Source organism: Homo sapiens, chromosome 9 (assembly GCF_000001405.40).
Source record: "Homo sapiens chromosome 9, GRCh38.p14 Primary Assembly".
NCBI lineage: Eukaryota > Metazoa > Chordata > Mammalia > Primates > Hominidae > Homo > Homo sapiens.
In genome coordinates this window covers 122,202,582-122,229,294 of record NC_000009.12, presented here as the reverse complement: position 1 = coordinate 122,229,294, position 26,713 = coordinate 122,202,582, and the positions used below count along the sequence as shown (strand labels likewise).

The 26,713-nt window shown below is 54.3% G+C and overlaps 1 protein-coding gene across 9 annotated transcripts, besides 2 other annotated features; it reads left to right on the top strand.

Moving 5' to 3' along the window:
• Positions 338-26,713, top strand: LHX6 (LIM homeobox 6). Of its 9 annotated transcripts, NM_014368.5 has the most exons (10): positions 338-638; positions 1,815-1,886; positions 2,265-2,447; positions 2,798-2,919; positions 12,007-12,227; positions 14,912-15,012; positions 15,226-15,321; positions 15,515-15,689; positions 19,578-19,681; positions 24,515-26,713. In NM_014368.5, exons 1-10 carry the CDS (start codon positions 555-557, stop codon positions 24,533-24,535), a joined length of 1,179 nt encoding a protein of 392 aa, NP_055183.2. In that variant the 5' UTR covers positions 338-554; the 3' UTR covers positions 24,536-26,713. The 9 variants fall into 9 exon arrangements, with proteins under 9 accessions (NP_055183.2, NP_954629.2, XP_005251973.1 ...); NM_199160.4 differs by lacking the exon at positions 19,578-19,681; NM_001242333.2 differs by lacking the exons at positions 338-638; positions 19,578-19,681 and adding an exon at positions 862-988.
• Positions 2,106-2,611: an enhancer, noted in NCBI's record as "H3K27ac-H3K4me1 hESC enhancer chr9:124988963-124989468 (GRCh37/hg19 assembly coordinates)". NCBI's record gives its function as "activates a minimal SCP1, AML or CMV promoter by ChIP-STARR-seq in naive H9 embryonic stem cells {active_cell/tissue: H9 hESC(naive)}" and the evidence as "EXISTENCE:reporter gene assay evidence [ECO:0000049][PMID:30033119]".
• Positions 15,052-15,201: a silencer, noted in NCBI's record as "silent region_20240". NCBI's record gives its function as "represses an Ori minimal core promoter by ATAC-STARR-seq in GM12878 lymphoblastoid cells {active_cell/tissue: GM12878}" and the evidence as "EXISTENCE:reporter gene assay evidence [ECO:0000049][PMID:35858748]".

Here is a 26,713-nt window from a genome sequence, read left to right as displayed (position 1 = left end):
GGTAGTGAGAGCTGGGTGGATGTGTGCCCGCCGGTGCCTTTGTGTACTGGCGTGTCTCCGAGTCTCTCTGTCGGCAGCTCTGAGTTTCTGTGTGTCTCTGTGTCTGTGTGTGTGTCTCTCTCTCTGGGTCTCTGCCTCGTCGTGTGTGTCTTGCTCTCCCTTGGCGGGGAGGGGATTGGTCACGCATGACTCATCTTGAACCGAGCGGGGCTCCAGCGGCAGGGCGGCCGCCGTTGCAGCTGGAGGGGGAGGAGGACAAGGAGGAGGGAGAGGAGGAGGAGGACTACCAAGAGGGGGAGGAGGAGAAGAAGGAGGGGGCGGGGGCCTCTCCAAGTTTGTCGGGACCTTCTTCCGAGGCAGCGGCGGCAGCAGCCAGGGAGGCCGGGGCTGCGCGCGGGCCGGGGGCGGGGGCTGAGGCCGGGCCCGGGGCGGCGGGGCCGGCGCCTCGGCTCTCCTCCTGCTCCTGCAGCAGCCTCTGCTCCCACTGCGGCTGTGGTCCCCCTCGGCGCAGCTCTCCGCGCTGCGCGCCCGCTGAGCCCGAGGTTCCCCGGCCCATGTACTGGAAGCATGAGAACGCCGCCCCGGCGTTGCCCGAGGGCTGCCGGCTGCCGGCCGAGGGCGGCCCCGCCACCGACCAGGTGAGCCGGCGAACGACTGGGTGAGCGGCCCGGGCCGGGGTCGGGCAGGGTCCGGGACCCAGCCGGGCCGAGCAGGGTGGCGGGCGGTTGCAGGAAGGAGGGGTACGAGGGTGCGCCTGTGAGTGTGTGCTTGTGAGTGTGGGAGCGCGCGCGCGAGCGGGGGGGGGGGGTCGCGGAAAGCGGGAACACATTATGCAAATGTTGGAGGAATTTCTCAAAAAGCGATTTAGTAAAGACACAGGCGAATCAAGAGGAGGCGAGGCCGGTATTGTCCGTCTGAATAGGCGCTGATAGCGCCGATGCGCCGGGGGTTGTGCCGGCGCAGCGCTGAGAATCCCGACGCGGGGCCGGTACCCGGCGCGCCGAGGGGCTGGAGGGTGCTTTTTCCTCCCCTTGAGCGCCTCTCTTTTCTCTTTTTGGTCCCGTTTCGCCCCGATCTCGCTCTCTTTTTGCTCCGGGTTTCCCTCCGACTGGCCCTCGAAAGGCGCCTGAATCCGTGTCAATATAGCTGCTTCAATTTCGCCGCGCGTGTCAGGCGGGCGGGCGGGCGGGTGCTCACCGCGCTCGGGGTTTTCTTTTCTTCAACCACCCTCCGCCCCTCACCCATCTCTTTTTTATTTTCTTTCTTTCTCTCTTTTCTCCTTTTTGCATTTTGTGCCGAGAGGAGAAGGGAGCGAGGAAGGGGAGTGGGGTGGGGGGGCGGGTGGAGAGAGAAAAAATTCGATTTTTAATTACTACCATTAAAAAATCAAATTTGCAATTCTTTGGGCGGCCTGATGGATCTCACTGATTGACAGTTGGAATTGACACTCTGGCTACCTCTTATCTTGGGCATTCACGACAATTTCTAATTGCAGGTAGTTTGTGTGTGTGTGCGCGTGTTTTTCTTCCCCCCTCAGAGGCTTGGATTGCAAGGGAACTAAGCGATTACTTCAAGAGCCACGGGTTAAGTGCAGGGAGAGGGGGAGAGAGAGGGAAAAAATCCAATCCAAATTCAAATTGCTTCATTAGAGAGACACCGCTTTTGTGGGGAAGGGCTTTAAATGCCCACTACAAAGTTAGGACTCATTGTTCGGCGCCGGTTTATATAACAGGCGCGGGGAGGCGCTGGGCTCAGGCTGTGCGGAGCCAGTTCAGCAGCCGCCGCCGCCTGCGTTCCCTCCCCCCCTCCCCCAGGTGATGGCCCAGCCAGGGTCCGGCTGCAAAGCGACCACCCGCTGTCTTGAAGGGACCGCGCCGCCCGCCATGGTGAGTCCGTTTGGCCCTGCCTGCGGTGCCCAGTCCTCCAGCGGCCCGGCCCTGGGGACCTGGCCAGGTTTTCCGGCCACGAACTGCTGCTCACGCTCTGGGGGACTCCCGGCGGGCGCCGCCCCTCTCTGAGCCTCGGTTTTCCGGCAGGGAATGTTGGCTTTAACCGCTCCCAGCACCCAGAATGCGCGTGTTAAAAGTTGGGGCCGTCCCTTCCTCTCCAATAGGCCCTTCCATCCCTGTCCTTCAGTCTACGGCGCATTGTCCTGGGGAGATTTCGTTGTCAATTGGTGCTCGGGGGCCCCAGATTTGTCTCCAAGGCAGCCCCAACTCTGGGTGCCCGGATCAGCGCTCCTCTCCTTCTCTCCCCCGCCGCAGGCTCAGTCTGACGCCGAGGCCCTGGCAGGAGCTCTGGACAAGGACGAGGGTCAGGCCTCCCCATGTACGCCCAGCACGCCATCTGTCTGCTCACCGCCCTCTGCCGCCTCCTCCGTGCCGTCTGCAGGCAAGAACATCTGCTCCAGCTGCGGCCTCGAGATCCTGGACCGATATCTGCTCAAGGTGAGACAGGGGTAGGTGTTGCGTGCGTGTTGTCGGGGCGTGGGACGCAGCGCAGGAGACTGCAGGGAAGCACCGCAGGTCCTCTTACTTCCAAATCCTGGCTCCACTGCTGCCCGACTGCGAAGCTTTGGGCAAGACTTAGGGTCTGCCTGAGCCCCCGGGTTCCGTCTGAAAAATAAGAAGAGTTTATTTCCATTTCCCTGAGTCTCAGTATTACGGGAGAAAAATAGGGGAATCGCATGCACCTTCTGAGCTTCAGCGCCTCTGACTGTAAATGAGACCGGGAAGGCTGGGGCCCGGAGTGAAAGAGGCCCGCGCTGAGCCGACCTCCGTCCCCGCCCCGTCCCCAGGTCAACAACCTCATCTGGCACGTGCGGTGCCTCGAGTGCTCCGTGTGTCGCACGTCGCTGAGGCAGCAGAACAGCTGCTACATCAAGAACAAGGAGATCTTCTGCAAGATGGACTACTTCAGGTAGGCTGCGGCCGCCGAGCCAGCAGTGTCGCCGAGGGCAGGCCCCGGGCGCATTCGGAGGCCACTTTTGCGGCGTGTGGTCTCTCCTCCAGAACCCCGGCGTCCCGAGTGCACTTCCGGCGCGCAGCGCTGGTCCAACCTGCCGGCGCTCAGCGGCGCGAACCCAGAGCTCCAGGCAGCGCGCCAGTGCCTGCACAGGTTTGCGCCCCGGATCTGCCTTCGGTCCTCGCGGTCCATTGGGTTTCGGTATCGTCTCTGGCTCTGTCTCGGGTCCTGCCTAAGTCTCAGGCTTCAGTTCTGACCTCGAGCGCCTCGGTGGAGCTCTGAGGTCCCCATTTCTGGCCCGGACCCACTCGGATCCCAGCCGTCGTCCGGCTGCATTTCCAGTGCGTTCGGGCTTCGAGTTCCAACCCTACTCGGACGTCATTCATGGTGGGGTCTCTCGCGGGCTGGACGCTGAGCTGGGCTTCGGACTCTTGCCCTGGCTCTGACCCTCGCTCCGCTCTGGGTTCGAGTCTGGTCCAGCCCAAAGCACCAGCGCCGCAACCGTCTCAGATCCGATCCCATACCCAAGCGCCTCGTCCTGAACCCCAACCTCTGTCTCCGGCTCCATCTCAACTCATTCCCCGGCGTCACTGGAGTGTCGCATTCTGAGCCTGGGGTCATGCGCAGGCCCCCAGCGCCTGTTCCAGTCCCAGCTTCGCTGTTGTTTTGGCCCGACTTTGGCCTCTCCAGGGTCTAGGCCTTGCCTTTAGGCCGCCAGGATGGGAAGTGGGAGAACTGGGCACCCGGAGCCCTGAGTGGGATTACCCCGGGCTGCGCTCTCCCTACTGCAGGCCGCGTCCAGCAGCCGAGAGCAGCCAGGCGCATCCTCCTGTCCTGCCGCGTCTTGGCCACTCGCCTGGGCCTCGCTTCTAGCCATGAAGCCCGGACCTGACCTGATTATGGGGTCGAGGTCACTGCAGGGTCATGGCCTTGTCTGCTGATCCCAGTGGGAGGCATCAACTGGCCTGAGGCTTGGACCACCAGGCCTATAGGATCAGAGGAGAATGGTGGAGAATCACTTCCTGAGAGGGATGCTTGTTCCCAAGTGCTTTCTCAAAAAGTGGAGAAAGCTGCTTCCCTATAACTACCCTCCAACCCACAGACATCTTTCCTATCCTTGCACAGGAAGACGTCATGGCTTCAGTCTTCCTGGCCAGACCCCTGCCCTAGAAAGAGCCTCTGGGAGTCAGGGAATATGGTGGAAGGCGATCTCCTCCTGTGCACTGGCATTGAGCCTCCAGCGATCTGGAAAGAGAAGATCTTGAGTCTAGGGGGAGGTTGGCAGCATTTGGGGCAAGGGTACTCTGAAAACCATGAGAAGCATGGTTAAAGAGACGGACTCTTCCTTTATGGGATGGATGTAGAAGAGTGTGCAGCTGGGGTGGGGTGGGGGCAGCTCAACCAAGTGGCCTAGGACTCAGTGTGCAAGGAGTGCCTGTGTGTCTGTATTGTCTGGGATCTGTGCAGTAGTGCTGGGGAAAGCATCACTGGGCAGGGTTGGGGGTATGTAGATAGCATGTGTGTTCCTTTATGGACCAACGTTTGTCTTTTAGTTCATGTGTGGGTGTCAAGAGTGGGTGTCTGTATGTGAATGTTGAGACTGTGTGTGTGCATGTGTGTGTGCGTGCACGTGCACGCAAAGTGGTGAGGACAGGATTACATCTGGACTAGGATCTGGAGGTGAGAGGGTGAGGTGAGGGGATTCTGAAATCCCATCATTCCACTCCCACCCTCTCCTCTGAGGGGGCATTCCTGCTTAAGGGCCTCCACCCAGGCACTGAGGGATGAAGGGGGTGATAAGAACGTATTTGTGAATCTGGACGGCTGTGTGTGTGTGTGTGTGTAGTCAGACAGGGGTTAATGGTGTGTAACCAGAGTGTGATGTCTCCTCTCACTGTCCCATCTGAGTATTGGTTTGGCCAGGACAGGAAATGGAGGTTACAGTCACTGTCTAGCCACCTCCCTGCTCTAGGCCTGACTCCAGTTGGTATAAAACATGCCAGATGGGCCGGGTGTGGTGGCTCACACCTATAATCGCAGCACTTTGGGAGGCCAAGGCTGGTAGATCACAAGGTCAGGAGATCGAGACCATCCTGGCCAACATGGTGAAACCCATCTCTACTAAAAATACAAAACTTAGCCAGGTGTGGTGGCACGTGCCTGTAGTCCCAGCTACTCAGGAGGCTGAGGCAAGAGAATCACTTGAACCTGGGAGGCGGACATTGTGGTGAGCCAAGATCACGTCACTACACTCCAGCCTGGGTAACAGAGAGAGACTCTGTCTCAAAAAACAAACAAACAAACATACAAAAAAACATGCCAGATGATGCTTGGGGGCTCCTTGGATTCATCAGCTACTAAATTTAAGGTGCCAGCTTGGGAACCCAGCAGAATGGTGTCTGGGTCTCTCCCATAGACTAAGGCACCACTAGGACACCTCTCCTGGCTCTCCTAACAATAGATTTGGCAGTCTTATTCACTACTTGCCCAAATTTCTTTTCTACTTCTCCAGCCCTAGCCCATGCCCATGCTGGACTGAGCCTCCTTGGATACTGTGCTTTACTAGACCTTGAAACTAGTCAAAACACGGATCCTGACTCCACTGTTCAGAGCCTCCCCTTATTCTGGAGTTCTCTTCCTACTGCAATGGGGTAGAGAGTAGGGTGTGCAGCCACTGTGGGAAGAGGCAGGAGACTGGGCCCAGTCTGGCCAGTAGTGACCTTCGCAAGTTGCTGCTTCTCTCGGCCCTTAGTTCGCCCTTTCCAAGGCTGTCTCCCAGAGCTGCCAAAGAGGCCACTGTTGGGGGGAAGTCTCTATAAAGGCTCCCTAAATGGTGGTTGGTATGAATGCCTCGATTATCACTGTTGTCATCATTGGCAGGGTGGATGCTGGGCACAAGCCCATGATGGCATTTCCCCACGCAGCTTGAGGAGCAGAGCCTGCCTGGAGGGATGGGACTGGGCCATTTCTGGGCTGCAGGTTCTGAGCACTAATCTTTTTCCAATGACAAGAGCCCTGAAAGCAAAACTAAACCAGATTTCTGGTTAAGAAAATGGAGGCAGTAAAAGCTCACATTCCCTGGGTTGAGGGTAGAATTGTGGCTCTTCTGATCATTTCTCCCCCTGCAGGCATAACCCATCCCTGGCAGCCCCACCTGTAACAAAAATAATAAAACCCACAAAAAGGGAAAGAAAAAGCCGATCGAGTGCCAGGCAAGGACTATTGTCTGCACTGCACTGCAGCCCAAGCTCTGGGTGGCTGCTATGAGGAAGTTCTTCCTGGAGAGAGTGTGAATGGTGGCGTGGGAGGCAGAATTTTCCTCTAAGGAGCTGGGGCCCAGGGAGGGGTCACATGCTGAGGTTCTCTAGGCTTCTGTTTCCTGAAGCCCGGGGTCAAGGGTCTGGTAGGATGTGGACTGGAGCACTCTGCCCAAAGAGAGGCCAAGAGCTCCCAACGGGGCAAGGGGGAGGAAGGGAGTGGCCAAGGCCCCATGGAGGGGGAGCATGGAGATCCCATGGTCCTCTAACCTCTGGCATTTTCCCCAGGGAAGAGGGTCACCTAGGTTCTATCCCCCACCTTGTCCCTCCTTGACATCATCTTATAGACCCTCCTTCAGTCTCCATTGGCAGAGCTAGCACTGGTGGCTCAGGGAATTAAAGGTTAGGAAGGAACTCCAAGTTCACCAGGGAGAGGGTCTGCAAAGCTTAGAGAAGACATGGAGGTCCAGTGCTGCTCCTGGCTCATTTGCATTGTTGGGAGAGGTTGGTTCTCATTGGCTGCGTGTCCTTGGCCAGGCCACTGGACTCTGCCTCAGTTTCTCCAATTCACACTCTAAACAGGGTCCTTACCAACCCTTGTGCGTTTATCCAGATCTCTACCTCCCCTTACTCCCTGAGATTCCCAGCAGGAAAAAAAAATACCACCAGAAAAATGTGACAGGACTCTTAATTTCTTCACCTTTTGGTGAAGACCATTTTTCTTTCTGTTTTCTTCCAAAAATGGAAGAAAATTCTGGAGGAAGAATAGTGCTCCTTTCCGGGACATTCACATTTCCCCTGCTACCGACAACCATAGCCCCAGACATACCTGCAGCTGCTGCCCTACAATAGGGCATGGCCCGATCTGCAGTGCCCACCTGGCTCCCCCAGCCTGCTGGAACATCATGCCTGCTGTATAGTTGGGGAGACTAATGTCCTGGGAAAGTGCCATTGCTTACAGTGACACAGGACACCAGTCATCATAACGTATGGAGTTCTTGTCTAAGCCAGGAATTGGGCTAACCCTTTACCTGCTTTATCTCATTTAATTCTCAGGTCCACCTTGTGTGTATGATACTCTCATAATCCCACAGTATGGTGGCGTGGGGGTGGGATCGAGGAACTGAGGCCCTGAGAGATGAGGTCACAGGGCTAAGTGGTAGAGACTAGATAAGCCCTATAGCTGCCTGGCTCCGCCATCCCTGCCCCTAAACACCCCCATACTCTTCTATAGGTGAGATATATCAGCCACCCGTCTGTGCATCGTGGGGCCCCTCTCTGCTGATCCAAAGAGTCCCTGCCCAGTTTGGTTGGCACGCCCGCTGTGTTTTCTGATGTGTGGCTCCCTGGGTGATCTTGCAACACTTAGGCAGGAGTGACCTCAGAGGCCTGTGAATGGAGCACCTTTGTCAATATCAGGTCACTGCGGTCCCTGGCCCTCCTGCCTTCTGACAATGGGAGTGGGGAGTAAAGGGTTAACTGCTTCCCCTCGTGTTTATGGGGGTGGGGGTTCAGTGAGTGCCCTGGAGGCTAAAGTTCCTCTTCCCAGCTAGGCCCAAACGACTTCATGCAAGCCCCTAGCCTTCTCTGGCCCTCCGCCTTGAGCCCAAGCTCTGTCGCGGGCTCCAGCGGGAGAAGCCTACCCCCTCCCGCAAAGCGAGGGTCCCAGGGGAAGCGCAGAGCGGGAAGCGGCCCCCCACCGCGGCAGAGAGCGGCCCAGCGGCGGCCAGCTGTTGGGGGACAGATGTTGGGGGAGCCGAGAGGGGAGCTGGGGGAGGAGCCTCGGGGCCGGGACCTCCGAGAAGCGGTCGTTTTAACCTCTTAATTGCTGGTTCTGGGTTTTTTTTCCCCCTCTGGCTTCTTCCCCTACGGGTTTACCTAGAAGGGAAGGAGCAGAGAGAATAGGTAGGGCCCCACCTCCAACCCACCTTGTTCGCCTCACAGGATCTAAAGCCTTCAAGAAGGTCTTGAACCTAAAATAAGTGAACCTCCGTTTGAGTTTCGGCCTCTCGGCTCAATAGCTTGGTAACTAACATTGGCGTTTCCACTCTGAGGTTTGGTTTCCTTGTACAGAAAAGGGGTAGCTTAATAGTGGGAGAAGGGGTCGAGGTGAAACTCAGATGGGCTCTTTCGTTGAGGCTCATTCATCCAACAAATAATTACCAAGCGCTTACTAGGTATCCAGCATAGTAGGCTGGGAAAGTGAGTCTGACTTGGTCAAGGGCGCAGGGCTCCCTTCATATAACCACGAGTACCCAGATATCTCTGCTCTCCTTTCAGGGGGTAGAGGGCACTGCGGTGCGCGACGCCCACCTTACTCTTTTTAGCAGTTGCCAGGATGAGCAGTAACACCTCTCCCCAAAGCGCCGCGCATCCTTTGCACCTAGGTCCTTCACACGCCGGGATCCAGGGACGCAAGGCCCGGACCTCACAGCAAGGCTGGGGTGGCAGTGGACACACCCCCTAATCCCTTTGGTGCTCTGGTGGCAGTTCCTGCACATCTGTTTCTTGAAGTTTCGTTGTCTCCGCCGCCGATTTCGCTGTGTCTGGAATCCAGTGGCTCCGGCCTCGCAGCCCGCCTGGGAAGGAGTCTGTCGTTCTGTCGGAGCCTGGATCGATAAGCCTCCTCGCGCCCTTCGTGCTGCTGACTCCTGTCCTGGGTGAGGGACACGCTGCAGGGCAGTCTGCAATGCAACCAAACCTACATAATCCCCCCTAACCCCACCTCAAGGATCTGGCGCGAGGACGATTTCGTAAACTGAGCTGAGCCACGAGGAGCACAGGAGGATCCTAGAGCTGGGACAGCTTCCAGCATTTCGGGAGACACGCGGAGCATGAGAAAGTTGCTGAGAGTTCACTAGCGGCGCCTACCTCGGACCAAGGGTATGAGGACACTGTGACTGACCTACCTGTGTAGGCGCAGAACGGACTCGGGCGTCGGGGACTCGCGGGACAGGAAGATCGCGGTGCGCGGAGAGTCTTTGACGTGTCCCTGGCCAAGGGGGAAAGAATCCCACGAGCCAAGCGCACAGAAGGCTCAGCCGCTCTTGCCCGGCTTCTGATGGCCATGACCTTTCCTGCTCCGGCTCTGTCCGCTCCCTGAGGACGCACTCACCGCCTTCTCCAGGAGCGTGGGCCCTTGGCCCCGCGCTGGAGATTCCAGAATCAGCGGCCCGGAGAGAGGACGCGGCGCTGCCAGACCAGCCCCGCTTCCTGTTCATCCATGCGGGATTCCAGCTTTCCTCGTCGCCAGTCCAGTTGCTCCGCAGGTTCTAGGTACTTTTTGCACCTTGGAGGGGGTCTCAACCCCAGCCTCATACCCTGTGGAGTTTCCGGCAAATCACTCGCCGGCTCTGAACCTTCGATTCCTCCTATGAAAACCGGATGCCAGAGTCCCCACCTCACCGGGTTGCGACGAAGCCGAGGTGGCGCAACGTTGAGGCCCAGGACCCCGGCCCGTAGTAAGGTCTCTACGCGCGGCTGGGCTCCCCCTCCTCCCGCAGCACAAATAATCGGAAGCCAGCCTCCCCTCAGAGGCCAGAAAGTGCTCCCAATCCGGATACCACCAGCCGGGTGGCGGAACCCGGGGTCGGCTCTTCGAGGGGGAGTAGGCTGGGTTGGGCAAAGCTGTTTCCTCTCCCCTTTACTGCGGGACGGGGAACAGAGACCGTGGTCTGGGCTGGGCACTCCGCTGGGGAAGCCGCGTTTCCGAGGTCCGGAACCGCCTGTGCTTAGGGGAGCGGTGGATTCAACGAAGGTGCTCTGCGCCTCCTGAGGGAACCGCGCCGCCTGCGGAAGGGTCCTGTCGCGCTCCTCGTTGGAGACAGTAGGGTTGGGGTTGAATCTGCGAGCGGAGACTGGCAGAAGCCTCTGGGCTCCTGCACTCAGTCCAACCCAACGCTGTTTTTTTCAACTGACAGTTGCTTGAATTTGCCAAGGCAGGCAGGCTGTAACCAGAGCCTTTTTGCCGGACTGTTTCCTCCGTGCACACACAAGCGATTCCGAATGCTCCCCCGGGTGGAGGGGTGCCCGCCCTGGGGACGCAGAGGCAAATCTTCTTGGTCCCCCACACCCAACCCCGGGACCCCAACTCTGGGAAGGTGGAAGGGGTGGAAGAGAAGAGCCAGAAACGAAACATTTACAAACCAGTGTGGTCAGCGCTGAGAGAGCGGTGCAGGGTGCCGTGGGACTCTGGGGGAGGGTAGGTCAGTGCAAAGGCCTGGGGGTGGGAAAGTGCTTCAGAGGAGGCCATAAAGACCTGGGAGTGACCTTCCATTGTGGCTGACTGGGACACATGCCTGGATGGTGGGGCGGCATATCTTGAAGGTTAGGGAGGAGATGGGCCTGAAGAGGATGTGGTCGCTTGGGTTTTGCAAACCCCAAGGGTTTTGGACCAGATCCTGAGGGTAGAGTGGAGCCACCATAGGATTGTAAGCAAGGCAGAAACAGGATTTCATGTGCATGCTGGAAACTTTGCTTTGACTGCTCTGTGGAGGATGGGTTGGCAGGGGCGAGACTGGAAACAGGGAGACCGGGGAGGAGGTTGACAGTGAGGGTTGCATGATGGGAGCCTGGCCTAGGAGGGCAACAGTGGAGATGGTGAGAAGGAGATGGATCCCAGAGATACTTGGGAAACAGAACCAACAGCATCGATGATTGGCTGGATGAGGGGTTGAGGAGAGAGAGGAGTGCATGATTATGATTTTCAAGCTTCAGGGGCTGGGTAAGTGGTGGCACCATTCTCTGAAATAGAGGGTGTACCAGAGGAAACAGGCTGCTAGGGTTGGGACAGAGTCACAGGTGAGTCATCCACTTTAAAGAACACACTTTCCCTGGTGCCCGGGATCAGGCCCTGGGCTGACTTCTGGGATGGAGTAAACCAGACTCCGCTGCCTCCTGGAGGGGCTTCCAGTCTGGTGTTGGAGGCAGCTGCACCCAAATTGCCAGACTACAAAACCAGAAGGGAGAAGGAGAAGTCGTAGAATCAAGGAAGGCTTGAGGGGCAAGAAGACATTCGATCTGGGCTTTTTATTTTTATTTTTGTCTTTTTAACATTTGGTATTATTAATAGAATGTCACAGGCTCCAGAGGGACTTGCTGGGTACTTAGCCAACTGCAAAGCACTAAACAAACAGTAGTAGTCATTGCTGTTGTCATCTAGTTCAGTGCAGGACAAGGAAAACGAGAACTCAGAGTTAAACAGTTTGCCTAGTGTCACAAAGCCAGTAAGTGCTTATCTGTCTGTTCATCTAAGAAACTGCACTTCTGTACAGCTGGCGCTATAGCTTATATTCATCTCTGGAGCAGGATCGCTAGGGTTCCTATCATTGCAAGCGGTGTGACCTCCTGCAAGTTACTTTACCTCTCTAGTCCCCATTTTCCTCACCTGCAAAATGAGGATTAATTGGGATAATCAATGTAAAACAATTAGAATCTTGCTGGGCAAGTGGTAAGTGCTCAACAACTTGCTTATTATTACTATTATTGTGTTTTTTCTAACTTGTGATGTATTTTTAACAAACAAATTAATATGCAAATATAAGTGACCATCGTAGAAAATTTGGAAAATTCAGAAAAACACCAAGAAGAAAATAAAAATCACCCACCAGTTCATCTCCTAGGTGGGACTAGGTGTAGAGTGTTGTTGCGTCCAAGCTAAGGCTAATGCCTGAGTTGAAGACTTAGAGGCCAGGAGCCTGGGGGCTGGCGGGCCATTGGGTGGTGGAAGGAGGAAGGTTGGCCTGTCTGAGTCTCGACACCCCGTGCCTGTCCTCTCGACCTGCAGCCGATTCGGGACCAAGTGTGCCCGGTGCGGCCGACAGATCTACGCCAGCGACTGGGTGCGGAGAGCTCGCGGCAACGCCTACCACCTGGCCTGCTTCGCCTGCTTCTCGTGCAAGCGCCAGCTGTCCACTGGTGAGGAGTTCGGCCTGGTCGAGGAGAAGGTGCTCTGCCGCATCCACTACGACACCATGATTGAGAACCTCAAGAGGGCCGCCGAGAACGGTACCCAACCTGCTCCGCCTGGCACCTCTGCCCCCAGCCCTTTCCCACCCCACCCCACCCCAGCACCCCAGGAACCACCCACACTCCTCTACCGATTGGGCCCTCCCGGTATAGTCCCGCAGGCAGCGTAGGGGTGGGGCGGCGAACAGATCTTGCACTTCCGGGTCGATCTTTTGCTTAGGAGTCAGAAGTCACTGCCCTCCTTTGTAACTATGTTTCCTTATCAGTAAAATGGCGTTAACAACAGAACACCTTCCCAAAGATAGATGAGCTAGCTGATGTGTTGTAAAGCCAGGAGGCACTCAGTGAACCCTAGAGATGGTTCTCATAATCGGGCAGCCTACTCCACCTTTGGACAGCTCTCATTGGCCTGGGGGCTCATCCCCTCCGGTTGCCTGGGACCAGGCTTGGGCCAGTCCTGGAGAGATGACTTGGCTCCCATTCTCCCATTTCCTATCCTAGCAGCTCCAAGCCAGAGGTTTGAGGAAGGGTTTTCATCCTGGACCAGGGTCTCTAACTATAAGGGGAAAGGACCAGGTTTCTGAGTCTGGAGACCAGGCTCTCCCATACTGTGTTGACATATGAGGTTTCCTTTTCTCTCTGGGCCTCAGTCCCTACATCTGTGCAAGACAGATACTGGACTAGAATGATCCCTAAATCTCTTCTGGCTCTGACATTGTGATTCCCCAGATTGCCCAGGAACAAGATCCAGGTCTTCCACGGATCCTGGGGACAGGGTCACAGATGGGATGGAGCTGGGAAAGGGCAGTGCTTGGCTGTGGGCAGAGGCAGGGACTCTTTCTCTAATTTCCCTGTTAGGGTCTGTGAAAGCTGCTAACTTCTCTGTAACAGGGATTATTTTATGTAATCCTTACAACAGCCCTAGGAAGTAGGTGGCACGGCCCCATTTTACAGAAGAAGAAACAGGATTTGCCAAAAATTACATACTAGTAGATTTGCCTAGCTCCAAAGCCCAGCCTCTTAACTACCATACCATACCATATCATACCATACCACACCACCTTGGCCCTAAGCTCTAGGGCACCTTAATCAGATCTCATAAAGCCAAGGAGGCTTCTGGGATGTAGCTGCCTCTGTTTTAGTTTCCCATCTAAAAAACCAACACACCAATCCTTGCCCTGCCTGCTTTCCTAGGGGACATTAATACCACAGAGTGTCTGCCCAACCCCCAGTTTTTCTGGGGAGGAGTATGAACCACCCTGCCTCAACTTCTAGGTCCCAGCCTGGAGACTAGTCAGGGACCGCAAGAGTGTTCCTGGCCATGGGCATACCAGGGCCATCATTTTCTCCTGCCAGGATCAGGACTAAGTGGGTCTAAGGGGGCATCTAGTGAACTTGGGTTTCACTTGCTGCCTGCTTATCTGCAGTGATGGGCAATGAAATTATCTGCAGTGGTCAGCAAGTCAGCAGTAGAGCTGGGATGGAAACCCAGGAGTCAGAGCTTTCCCACACTGTGGTCCATCAGCGACCACAGGCTCCTTCCACACATGGTCCAACCAGGACCACCTGTAGTTACAACCTTGCCAATTACATCCTAGCTCTCACAGCCACACCTGTCCACAGACTTAACATGCTGAGGAACTTGAAAGCTGGGGCCTCCGATCTCTCTTACTGATCAGCCCTCAGTATTGGCTACTGTTTCACTTTTTAAACATAACACACACACAGATACACACACGTTCATTGTAGAAAAATTAGAAAAGACGGTAAGCAAAAAGAAGAAAATAACGATTGCTCCAAATGCTGCCTTCTTCATATTTTAATGTGTATCTTCTCAGATTTTTTTCCATGTATGTTACAATGTTTGCTTTTTTCCTTCAACATAATTTTTTCCTAATTAAAAAGTTACAATAAATTGTGAACAATGGTTATTTCTGAGTGCTGGAATTACTGGTGATTTTTATTTTCTTCTTTGTGCTTATGGAAATTTTCTGAGATTTTGAGGATATTCAGAACAATGAAGTATTAAAAATAAAATGGGAATATGGTTAGTGTTTTAGTATGACTGTAAAAGTAATATGAGTGGAAAGAGAATATCTAACATATACGCCGGTTAACAAAATTAAACCTTACAGAAGTAAGGCAACATATGATTGTTTTTAAATACCTCAAAAGTTACAGGAATACTGAAAGTAAAAAGTTTCCATAATCACATTCCTGGGAAGTAAACCACTGCCAACACCTTGTTGTATATTCTTACAACCTTTTTTCCTTCCGCTTATTTTTATAAAATTAGGAGCATAGTTCCGTTACTTGCTTGCTTCCTATCTCCTCTAGCCTTTGGTGTCCCCCAGTTTCGCCAGCAGGGAGCCCAGTTTGGGACATTAGGGTCAGCTAGCTTTCGGATTCTAGTTGAAAGGGCCAGGGCAGGGGCTTTCCTTCTCTCTGAGCCTCAGTTTCCTCCCATGTATAATGAGGTAACGCCACCTCTCCTTAGGGCTGTAAGACGTGGTCCAGTCGTGTAAGAAGTGTCCAGTACTAAGCGGACGCTCAGAAACCCCTTCCCCAAAGACTGAGCTCAGGGACTAGGACCCTGGGATCCCTGCTCCCAGCCAACTCCCGCTCCTGACCCTTCCAGGGACAAGCTCCCCCCACCCCCGTCCTTTCCAGGCTGCCACTAGAAGAGATGGGGACGCGTGGTCAGCTGCTTCTATCGCCCCCAGGGAACGGCCTCACGTTGGAGGGGGCAGTGCCCTCGGAACAGGACAGTCAACCCAAGCCGGCCAAGCGCGCGCGGACGTCCTTCACCGCGGAACAGCTGCAGGTACCGCTGCAAGCAGTGGGCGGCGGGGGCGGGGGCCGGGCCGAAAGTGGGCGGGGCCGACAATGTCTCCTGGCTCCGCCCCTCGGGCCGGACCCGGGTGGCGGGGCGGGGCCGCAGCTGCCTGGGGCGTGGCCTGTGGACTGGCGCCGCTGATTGGGCCGGGGTCTCGGAGTCTCTGCGTGCGAGCGCCTCACCGCCCTCCCCGCCCCGCAGGTTATGCAGGCGCAGTTCGCGCAGGACAACAACCCCGACGCTCAGACGCTGCAGAAGCTGGCGGACATGACGGGCCTCAGCCGGAGAGTCATCCAGGTGGGACGGGGGTGGGCGGGGCCTGGGGACCGCGGGCACGCCCCGGAGCTCGTAGCTGGGCTCGGCGCGGAGGGTGGTGCGTGCACGTGGCCATCCTTCTCCAGGAGGCGACGAGGCAGTCCCGCCTGGGGTCTCCCGGCGGCGCGTCCGACTCTTTTCCTCGAGGCTGAGGCTGCCGAGGCTGTCGTTCCAGGTGTGGTTTCAAAACTGCCGGGCGCGTCATAAAAAGCACACGCCGCAACACCCAGTGCCGCCCTCGGGGGCGCCCCCGTCCCGCCTTCCCTCCGCCCTGTCCGACGACATCCACTACACCCCGTTCAGCAGCCCCGAGCGGGCGCGCATGGTCACCCTGCACGGCTACATTGAGAGTAAGTAACCGCAGCGCCGGGAGCCGCTGGGCCTGCGGGGAGGGGGCGCGGAGGAGCGCACGTGGGCGGCTGAGGCCGAGGCGTGGGGTGGAGGGCCTTGGGGAGCCTCGTGGGTGAAGAAGCGGGACCCGAAGTCATTTGGATCTAGGAGTTGGGGGAAGAAGGGTCAAATCTTCGGCTCTGCCTCAGTGGAGCGGGATCCTTCATAGAGGCAAGCGATTCAGCAGCCATTCAAAAAATGCCTTCAAAGCACCCACAATGTGCCAGTGCCCGGAGACTGGGGAGAGAACAGGCTGGACAAGGTACCTACTCTGTGGAGCCTGCGTTCTGGTGGGCATGGAAAAATAGGCAGATGAGTGTGTCGTTTTAAGTGGGATGATTCCTGTAGGAAAGGTGCTGGGTAGGAGTGACTGGAGATGCTGCGGGGTGGAAGGGAAGGGGCTGGGCTGCCTTTCAGCAAGCAGAGACTGAAAGGATGGATAGGATTTAGTGAGGTACCTGGAGTGGGGGAACGGAATGCACGCAGGCCCTGGCCCAGAAAGCATCGTGGCATGGGTGTGTTCTGGGGAGCAGAAGGCCAGTGTGATGGGAGTGTCCAGGGCTGTGAGGCCTTAGGCAAGTCACCTAACCTCCTTGAGCCCTGGTTTCCTCATCTGTAACCTGGGATGTCAATAATGCCAGCCTCACAGGGTTGTGAGACACCATTCATGCATTCAGTAGCTATATCTTGAGTGCCTTCTGTGTTCTTTGCACTGGGATACGACAGTGAACACAGTAGACCAAAGCTTCTGTGCTCCTGGGGTTTGCACTCCAGCATGGGAGATGGTGGAGATGATAAAGTAACAGGGAGGGAGCAGGCATGTCCGTGGCAGGGAGTACTGTGGCGGAGATGCAGGGGCAAGCGGGTCATGGTGAAGTGACTTGTGAGCGGGAACCTGGAGGAGTGAGGGAGGAGCCCCGGGGATTTCTGGAGGATGAGTGTTCAGTGAATCTGCTGCTGAGCAGGTGCCTATCACAGATTGTCTTTCCCTTTGAAGTTGTTCCCATCAATTGTTTCCTCTAAGCTGGGCATGACCAAAAAAATGTAAATGACTGCGATGCACACAGACACAATTCCTCCCTTCTCTGGCTCCATGTAAGAGGGAAAAAGAAGGGAAATCAGACAGAGAACTGCTGCTTACTGACCATATGCCATATATTCTACTGACTGTGTCTCTAAACATCAGAGGCCACCATCTCCTTGAATAGATGAGGAAACCAAGGGCCCACTGTAAGTTAGTGGGAGCCGGTATGCCTTAATGATCGAGTGTGGGCTTTGGTTTCAGATTGCCAGGCTTCACATCCCAGCCCTGCCATTTACTAGCTGTGTGACAGTGGGTGAGTTTCTTAGCTTTCTTGCATACTCATTCCCTCATCTGTAAAAATGAGGACAACAGTATCTCAAAGCAGTGTTCTGAGCATCAAACGAGGTAACTGAAAATCCTCAACATTCAGCAAGTGCCGCATAAGTATTGGCTGCTCTTGTGATGGTGGGAGTGGTTTTGGTTGGCAGAACTAGGAGTGCAGAGCCCTGTCTTCGCACCAGGCTGCCAGTTGGAAACCATGTCTCTTTATATAGTTCCATTTCTGAACTATCTGCTCAATAGGAGCGACATTTTCCCCCTTTCTTTTCTAAACAATAACTATATTCAGGCTGCACAGAGCCTGTTAAAGGTGCCAAGGATCAGGGGCGCTATAAGTACCAGGGGTCTGAGCTACCTGCTAATACTTGGTGTAGAGTCAATAAGAAATCTAGATGATCCCTTTGGACTTGGGGCCATGACCTCCAGAGTCCCTGCCAGGACTCTGTCCATACACTCTGTTGACCAAACTTAGATCTGTCTTTGCTGCTTAGAGAAGAGGCTGAGGTGCCCTCTCCTCTTACCCTTGTGGTGGAACTCAGCTTGGGGAAGAAGAGGTTGGGGGTGTGTGCACCTGCACCTCCTGCTGCATGACTGACTGAGAGTCACCACAGCAGTTTGCTCTATGGTAAACTACAGTCATGGAGTTGTGAATTTTCTGAAGCCTTAAGCTGGGAAGCTAATGAAAGTGTTAGAACCAGACCCCAGAAAAATGAGTTTTTCTGTAGAGTTTGCTCTGCGGTTAACTAAAGTCACAGAATACTGAGTTTCCTGGAGGCTTCGAGCTTGGAATCTGATAAAAGCTTTGGAACCAGACCCCAGAAAAATGCAGATGTACATACATTTTCCAAGTAATCTGAAGTTGTATATGGACTCCTTGAACACCCCAGGTGAAGAACTCCCAATTTAATATAACTCCTTTATTCTACAAATGGGAGAACTGTGGCTCAGAAGGGCACAGTGAATTGTCCCGGTTTATATATCAGTTGTAAGTGTCTCTACAATGCCCTTTCCCTGTGACCAAAGAGAATGAAGCCTAAAGAAGAGACCAGCAATGGACTTCTCCGCTGTAGTGATAAACAGGCTGAAGCATGAGAAATTTGGATCCGACCCAAAGGTGGACTTTCCCCAACAGTTTTAGATGTTGGAATATGGTATAGAAATTCATTCAGCACATACTTAAGAGTACCTACTAAATGCCATGCCTCACTCTAGGTGCTGGAAATCCACAAAGATCTAGAATCTAGAAAACATACAAAAAATTCCTGCCCTCGTGGAGCTTTGCATTCTAGTTGGCAAAGACAGATAATATCAAATAAATAATAAAAATATGCAGTAAGTCAGGCTGGGCGTGGTGGCTCACACCTGTAATCCCAGCACTTTGGGAGGCCGAGGTGGGCAGATCACTTGAGGTCAGGAGTTCAGGACCAGCCTGGCCAATATGGTGAAACCCCCTCTATACCAAAAAATACAAAAATTAGCTGGGCATGATGGTACATGCCAGTAGTCCCAGCTACTCAGGAGGCTAAGGTGGGAGAATCACTTGAACCCAGGAGGCAGAGGTTGTACTGAGCAGAGATGATGCCGCTGCCCTCTAGCCTGGGTGACAGAGTGAGACCCTGTCTCAAACAAAAATGCAGTTAAGTCAGATGATAAGTGCTAAGGAAATAAAGCCGGGAGGAAGACAGGGAGGGTAGGAGATAGGTGTTGGTGTTGGTTGCAGTCGTAAAGAGAGAGGTGACATACGAGTACAGAGTCCTCTAAGAGGCATGGGTAAAGTCATGGTGATACCTAAGAGATATGAACTTACTGAGGGAGGGTCTGAATAGATGGGGCACAGCCTTGCTTGCAGGGCCTGAATAGGCAGGGTACAGACTTGCTTGCATGCGCATGAATATGAAAACACATATTTATTTAGGAGTGTTTATCAGTGAGCTAGATGGTTATACCTCACTCTCACGTAGCTCTTTATAAAGAGCATCACAATTGGCCGGGCACGGTGGCTCATGCCTGTAATCCCAGCACTTTGGGAGGCCGAGGCGGGCAGATCATGAGGTCAGGAGATCAAGACCGTCCTGGCTAACACGGTGAAACCCCATGAGGTCAGATCAAGACCATCCTGGCTAACACGGTGAAACCCCGTCTCTGCTAAAATACAAAAAATTAGCTGGGCGTGGTGGTGGGCACCTGTAGTCCCAGCTACTTGGGAGGCTGAGGCAGGAGAATGGCCTGAACCTGGGAGGCAGAGCTTGCAGTGAGCCAAGATCGTGCCACTGCACTCCAGCCTGGGCGACAAGGTGAGACTCCGTCTCAAAAAAAAAAAAAGATCATCACAACCAACCCTACTGAAACCTTGCCCAGGGCTACCCAGGAGGTAAGTGGCAGAGATGAAACTGGTTTCAGGGCTCCAGTCTGTAGAGAGCACGGGGCAGGTGGGATCCTGTGTGCAGCCTGGGGGATGAGCTCCAAGGCATCCTCTCGTCCACAGGTCAGGTACAGTGCGGGCAGGTGCACTGCCGGCTGCCTTACACCGCACCCCCCGTCCACCTCAAAGCCGATATGGATGGGCCGCTCTCCAACCGGGGTGAGAAGGTAAATGGAGCCAGGTTGGGTCTGGTGGGTCAGAGCCACCCTGCTGGGGATGGGTTTCTGGCAGCATCCTCTGTTAACCATTTGGTACCATGCTGCGCTGTGGCAGACCCTGTCTGCCCGGCCTGCTGAGACCCCCACCGCACCCCCACAGCAGTCACTGGAGCGGTGGTTGCTAGTGTGTTCTGTGTGCATGGCCACTCCGAAGGCCTCCTTGCAGCTCCCCACTGGCAGTTTGCCCTGCTCTGTCTTAGATTTGTGAATTTCCTTTACTCAAGCTTTAAGTTCCAGGGAGGGCTTATATCACTCATCACCCCACTTCCCATCATCTCACTGGTTTCTCCTTTTCATTCTTGTCTGTTGGGAGTGAATATCCTGAGCTGATGGGGTTCAGGGATAGCTGGCCAGCCAGTGACCTTGGTCAACTGGCAGGGCCTCCTCTGTGGAGCCAGGATTTCTGGTTGTCTCAGGCTTTAGGACTGCACTTCTAAAAGGGTGCTTAGCTGTCCCCATTCCAGGGCTTCAAGGTATTATTTCTGAAGCAATGCAACCCTTTGTTTAAACTTGTCCATAGTGCAGATGAAGGTGGATGGAGCTGCTCTGAAACCATGGAGAGAGGAGGAGACTTACCTCCCTCCCAGCTCCAAGACACCTCACAGTTAGCCTCGAAAGCCAGTGCTGTCAGACAACCCTTCATTTTAGAAATGGGAACGTTGAGGCCCAGATAGCTCAAAGTCAGAGATTGGATGAGAACCTTGCTTTTTTTTTTTTTTTTTTTTTTTAGACAGAGTTTCACTCTTATCGCCCAGGCTGGAGTGCAATGGCGCAATCTCGGCTCACTGCAACCTCCACCTCCTGGGTTCAGGTGATTCTCCTGCCTCAGCCTCCCGAAGTAGCTGGGATTACAGGCGCCTACCACCATGCCCAGCTAATTTTTTTGTATTTTTAGTAGAGATGGGGTTTCGCCACGTAGGCCAGGCTGGTCTTGAACTGCTGACCTCAGGTGATCCACCCGCCTCAGCCTCCCAAAGTGCTGGGATTACAGGCGTGAGCCACCGTGCCCGGCCGAACCTTACATTTTTTAATTCACTGACTTGTTTATTTGGAGACATTTCCTATGTCTTGTCTGTGCCCAGCATCCATGAATCTGTTGCTAGGAGTGGAAACAAGTAAAGTGTGGTCCCTACCCTTGAGGAGGCCAGAGTCTGGAGGGGGAGGCAGATCCCAACAGTTACAATACAGTGTGACAGGGGAAGCCATGGGAGCTGGGGAGGGGGAAGGGGGCAAAGGAGAGAGGCAGGGAAGACTTCCCAGAAGAGGCAACCTCTAAGGCCAGGCCTGAAAGCTGAGGCATCAGGGAAGGCATGAGACACCAGAGCTCTCAGGGAACCCTGAGCCATTCAGCATTGTTGGCAGGCATGTCTGGGAGGATGAGAGGAGGAAAGCGAGAGCCTTGAGGCTGCCAGGTGGAAGAGTCTGTATTTTATGCTGCGGCAGTGTGGGGTCCTGGAGGGCCTGCTGCAGAAACATCACTGTAGCAGTCTTCAGAGACTGCTGGGTTGGAGGACACCCAGTAGGAAGCAGGGATCCCTGGAGGTCAGTGGGTGTGGCAGTCCCTCGGAGGGAGAGGGTCAGAGCATTAGGGCTGGAGTCAGGAGCCCTCCAGTTCAGCAGATCCCGGTCTTGGTGTGCTCGGAATCACCTGGGCAGCTTGTAAATATACAGAGATTCCTAAGCCTCGCTCTCAGAGAGTCTGTTGGGGTGGGATATAGGGATCTGCGAGTGTAATACTCAGCCTGTGTGATTCTAACGGGCAGCCGGGGTGGGGACAGCTCCTTTAGGATGGTACCTCTGGCTCAGCCTCCTGATTGAGCTCAGTACACCTAGTATGTACTGAGCTCTCTGTGCCGGGCACCACAGGAGAATGTGTATGGTGTGGAGGTACAGACAGCCCTGGACAGATACATTTGTAAATAAATGGTAGTGCCTAACGTAAAATCCTGCAGAATCTGTAGTGAGTGAGCATGCCCCAGGAACACCATCGCCGCTGAGACTGTCACATCCATAGGAAGAGCTGCCGTTTGCTGAGCTCCTTCTGTTCAAGGCAGCTACTTCTCACATGGCATCTGGTTCACACCTCCCAGCCACTTTGTGGACATAGAGATGGCCTTCTCATTGTAAAGAGATAAACAGATTCCGAGAGGTGACATGACTTGTCCAGGGATGCAGCGAGTCTGTCGGACTCTGAAGTCTGCGCGGCTCAGTAATCACTTCCTTTTGTGCAGCACTTCATTGTGTACACAGCCCTCTCTCCGACCTCATCCTTCATAGTCTCCCTGGGAGGGTGATTGCGATGACCTCCATTTCACACTTGCAGAAACGGAGGCTCAGACAGAGCAGTGCTCATCCAGAATCACAATGTGAGCATGGGCAGAACTGGCCGGGATCCTAGAGCCACCTGCCTCAGAGCTGTCCCTTCCTGTGGGAGGGGATTCATCCTATTAGACCTGGCTCTGGGACTGCAGAAGTGAGCTGACATGATCCCTGCCCTCAGGGAGCTTGTGGCTTAGCACAGGGTGTGGGCAGTTACATTGCAGGGGAATGGGCAGCTGGAGTAGGCGAGAAACTTGACCTTAGAGGACCCAGAAGAGGAGGCAGTGAGCTCTAGGGGAGAGACAGGGGACAAGAAGAAGGGTGTTCCACATCAAGAGAACCGCATGTGCAAAGGCCCAGAGGCATGGAGGAGCTTGGGCCGGAGGGGACCCTGGGGGACGTTCAGTGTGGCTGAGGTCCAGGGAAGTGGGGAGAGCCGACAGGGGCCACAGAACAAAGGATCATGGAAAGAGGGTCTTGGACATTATGTGGAGGGCAGGGATGGGCCCTGGAGGTACAGAGGGCTGGGCTCAGTGCTTGGAGAGGAGCCTTTGCCTCCTGGTTGCTCAGCTAAGCTTGTGGTTCTGTCTCATTCAGCCTGGGGGATGAGCCATGCTGGGGGCTGTCAGATTTGGCTATAGACAGTTTCTGGCTTCTGGATTTGGCTGCTGAGCCAGAGTTTTCCCTTGCTGGGCTGTGTCCCCAACTTTGCACCCAGAAAGTCTGCATTAAAGTGTCTCTCCCTCCTTCATGACCTTCTGTCCTCTCACTGTCAGGCCTTTCCGCCAGCTCCTAGGGACTTTTCTTGTCCATAACTCTCAAATTCCTGGGGCTTGGTGGGCGGCAGGGTGTGGTATGTGTGTGGCCAGCACAGGATTGTCTGGGCTTTCTTCCAAGTCCTTCCAGGCCTGAGCCTGCCTAGCTGTGAGGAGACTCAGTGTCCCCATGGGGCTGGCCCCTGAACCCACTCATCTAGACCAGCACTGGCCTGGCCAGGAGAACAGTGCTCTGAGCACTCAGGGGAGCATCCCCTGCCTCCACCGCATCGTCATTTGGCCACACACACCTGTGAGGTTCCAGAGCCACATTTCTTCCTGGTTGTGTCCCCTGATCCCACAAATCCAACACTTGGAAAGTTCTTAGAAATCAGGGCTAAGCTGTCATTGATCAGTGGAGGAGACTGAGACCCATGGAGGGGAAGGGTCCTACCAGGGTCGCCACTCTTGAGAGAGCTTTTCCTAATAAGGGCTAAAAGCCAGGCATTCTGGAGGCCAAAGTGGAGCAGTGGCCAGGGTGGGGAAGGAATGCCCACCCTGGCCACTCTGGAGTTAGGCCAGCTCGGAATCCCAGCTCTGCCACCTCCCCTGTGAGATCTGGGAATGCAATTAGTTTCTCTGAGCTGCGGTTTCTACATCTGCAAACTGGGGATAATAATAGTTCCCACTCCGTAGGGTTGCTGCAGAGAATAAATGCATAATGTGTGTAAGGAGCCCAGCACAGAGCCTGGTGCACAGAAAATGCCCCCAGGTGTTGGTTATGATCATGATCACTATTATGGTGATCATCATCATTGCTTTCCTCCATCACCTCCTTGTGATAACCAGTTCTGGGCAAGTAACATTCCTGATCAGAAAAGGGAACAGCCATGTAGTCATGCCCACCAGATGCCCCTCACACTTTACTGTGAAATGACACATTGCCATTGACCAGCCAGCCAGTGATCCTTGACCTGAACTTCAGGGAACTGGCTGTGTCAGCAGCAGTGAGATGTCAACCAAGTGCTAGAGGTGGGAGTGGGAGGGGGAAAGGGACAGACAGTCCTGATCTCCCACTGTGTATCGGGCACCCAGTGTGTCTGAGCCACGCACTTCTAGGCTTCGTGCATGTGAAGATTAAGCGCATGTGAAGTGCTTAGCCCGTGGCCCTGTGGGTAATAAGCAGTCAGCCACTATGGTCACGGTGACCTTGGAAAGGTAGAGGCAATGTGCTTTGGTAGGGAGAGCTTGCTGTGAGCCAGGCCTGGCCTCCAGTGCCAGGTCCTCCTCCTCGCTGTGTGCCCACGAGCTCACTCGCTTCCACCTCTTTGAGCCTGAGTGCCCTCCTTGTAAAACAGAACGTTGGAACTCCCTCACGGGGCTATGGTGCGGCTTCCGTGAAATCAGGCACAGAAGGTGCAGGGTGAAATGCCCAGAAGGCTTTTGCTGCTGCTGTTGTATCTCATTGAATCTCTCTGATTCTCAGAGAGAGATTTTGTCATCCTTGTTTTAAAGATGAGGAAACAGGCTCAGAGAGGTGCAGTGAGTTGCCCAAGGTCCCACAGCAAGTCAGTTGACAGAGCCAGGATTTAAACTCAGATCTGGGCCCTGAGTCCACCCTTCTTCTCTGTGCCTTTGAGGTTCTCTGGGGGGCAGCAGGGTGGGGCAGGCCCCCAGCTCAGCCACCTCCCATGCCCTCCTCTTGCAGGTCATCCTTTTTCAGTACTAACGCTGCCGGCACTTCCGCATCTGCCCGTGGGCGCCCCACAGCTGCCCCTCAGCCGCTGAGATCCAGTGTCCAAGCTGCGGCCAGGAGTCCACCCACCTCCGCATCCACCCCCGTCCGCCATCCTGCCCACCACCAGGTCGGTTCCCGAGGCCTGGCCTTTCCCTCTCCTGCTGAGAACCAGAACCCACCAGGAGCACCACAGAGTCCTCCTCTTGGAAGGCAGAACTCCCTGAAATCTGGAATCAGGGTGGAAACAGCCTGTTTTTCCCATTTAAACAGGAGTCCTCTTCAACTTCAGCTGATTACAATAACAAAAGGCGGAATTGAATTGTGCGATGCCAACGGCCTTCTCATTTACAGGTTTTTTTCCCCCACATTGGCCTTTATTTACTACTTCCTTGGAACCATCTCTGAATTCTGAATAGCTGACAACCCCCAATGTTATCCACTCTGTTGCTTTTGTCTGGAAAACTCTACAGTGTTTGTGGGATGTCCCCAAAGGAAAGCTATGTTCTAATTTTATCATTTCCATCTGTCTGGTTATGTCAAGTTAATTCAGAAAGAGAAGAGACAGTGACCAACCCTGAGAGGCCTAATAGGGCAGAGATGGAGGCCTGCCCAGACTAGGAGGCAGCGGGGATAGACAGGGAATGGGGAGAAGAAAGACCCCCATTGGTTTGGAAATCAAGGAGAGGGCGGTGACATATTGGACCAGAAGAGGCACTAGCCATTTTAAGGAGAGGAAAGAGAAAACTCTGGGGTCAGGGAGAGACCCTACCCCCACCTAATTATCCAGCATATATGTAAGAAACATAGCAGCGATGGTATTCGATCTGTGCCATGACTCTTCTGAATGTTTGGACAGGTTAGAGTTGGGGACCCCTGTTGGCCACTTGTTGACCTCTCATAGTGGTGCTTGGGCCAGGTCTTCTCAATGGAAGGGGAATCCCTTATAGGGGAGAGGGAACAGAGCCCAGTGAAATGGCAGTCAGAATGTTAACCCTGGATCCATCTCTAAGTAGAGAGAGGGTGCCCATTGCCTAGGTGAGTGTGCCAAGCTCAGGATTCCAACTGGTGCCTCTGAGCTTCCCAATCAATACTTCCTGGAGCCAGCCCCACCCACCCCTGAGAACAGAGGTCAGACACAGCTGCGTAACATCCATCCTGCTACAACTCTTCCACCCCAAACAAAAGGGCTCAGGCTACACACGACCATGATTTATGTTTTCAGGGGATGCCCATTTGTCCCAAGCTTATCCTGTAATTCTAGAATTACCTGGTGTCCTGATGCATTTTCCACTAGAGGTTGCTAATCAGCATGTTTTAGCCCAAGTCCGCCTTCCTGCTGTGGTTAACCTGTTATGTTGCTTTTGGAAGGAGACTCTAAGACAGGGAAAGCAAGTTCATGGTACATACGCAGCCATTGTCTCTGTTTTTACCCATGGCAGACATTGCTAATCAATGGCAGCTCTATTTCACTGAGTCTGGATAAGGTTTCAGAGTTCAAATGCTTGACGTTGGCACTTAACATGAAAGCCTATAGGTCATTCTTGCTCTGGGATCTACAGGCAGGGTAGGCACAGGTGCAGCCTAAGAAGGGAACCTGCTTCCTCTCCCTTCCAAAGACAGTGACAGCTGACTGAGGGCAAAGAGCAGGCACCACTCAGAACGTGGTGAGTACAGCTCAGCTCAGCACTCAGTCAGTGGTAACTTGTGCCCAGCCCTGTGCTAGGCGCTGACATTAACAGGAGCAACCAGGGCCCAATTCCTGGCCTTGGAGCTCAAATCTTTCCTTTGATTTTTGCTCCTGATCATCAAGGCCCCAGTGGCAACCATGTGGTAAGTGGCCAACCAAGCCCTACCCAGGGTCACCCAACACACTCTGCCTTGAGCCTCTCCTCAGGGTCTATTCCTTGCGTGGATTATGTGGCCGTAGCATGTTACAGTTCAAACATGTCTCCACTACCCTGTTAAGAGCAGCCTGGGAACGTACAGGCCATCAAGACTATTTATTTAAATACAAAAAAAGGGGAAAACACACACACGGAAAAAAAATTGTAAGCACTTTTTTTGTAAAACCAATGTCTGTTTTGTTACATACCTTTCATGTCGTGCTTTGTAAATGTCTTATTTGTGTAATAAAGTTAATGCAAGTAGAAGTGCTGGCACTGAAATCCA

Bases quoted from the DNA above. Each gene is read 5' to 3' on its own strand.
- LHX6 (NM_014368.5), top strand. From the start codon at position 555: ATGTACTGGAAGCATGAGAACGCCGCCCCGGCGTTGCCCGAGGGCTGC. The intron at 639-1,814 runs GTGAGCCGGCGA...CCCCTCCCCCAG, and splicing joins GCGGCCCCGCCACCGACCAG to GTGATGGCCCAGCCAGGGTC. The intron at 1,887-2,264 runs GTGAGTCCGTTT...CCCCCGCCGCAG, and splicing joins GGACCGCGCCGCCCGCCATG to GCTCAGTCTGACGCCGAGGC.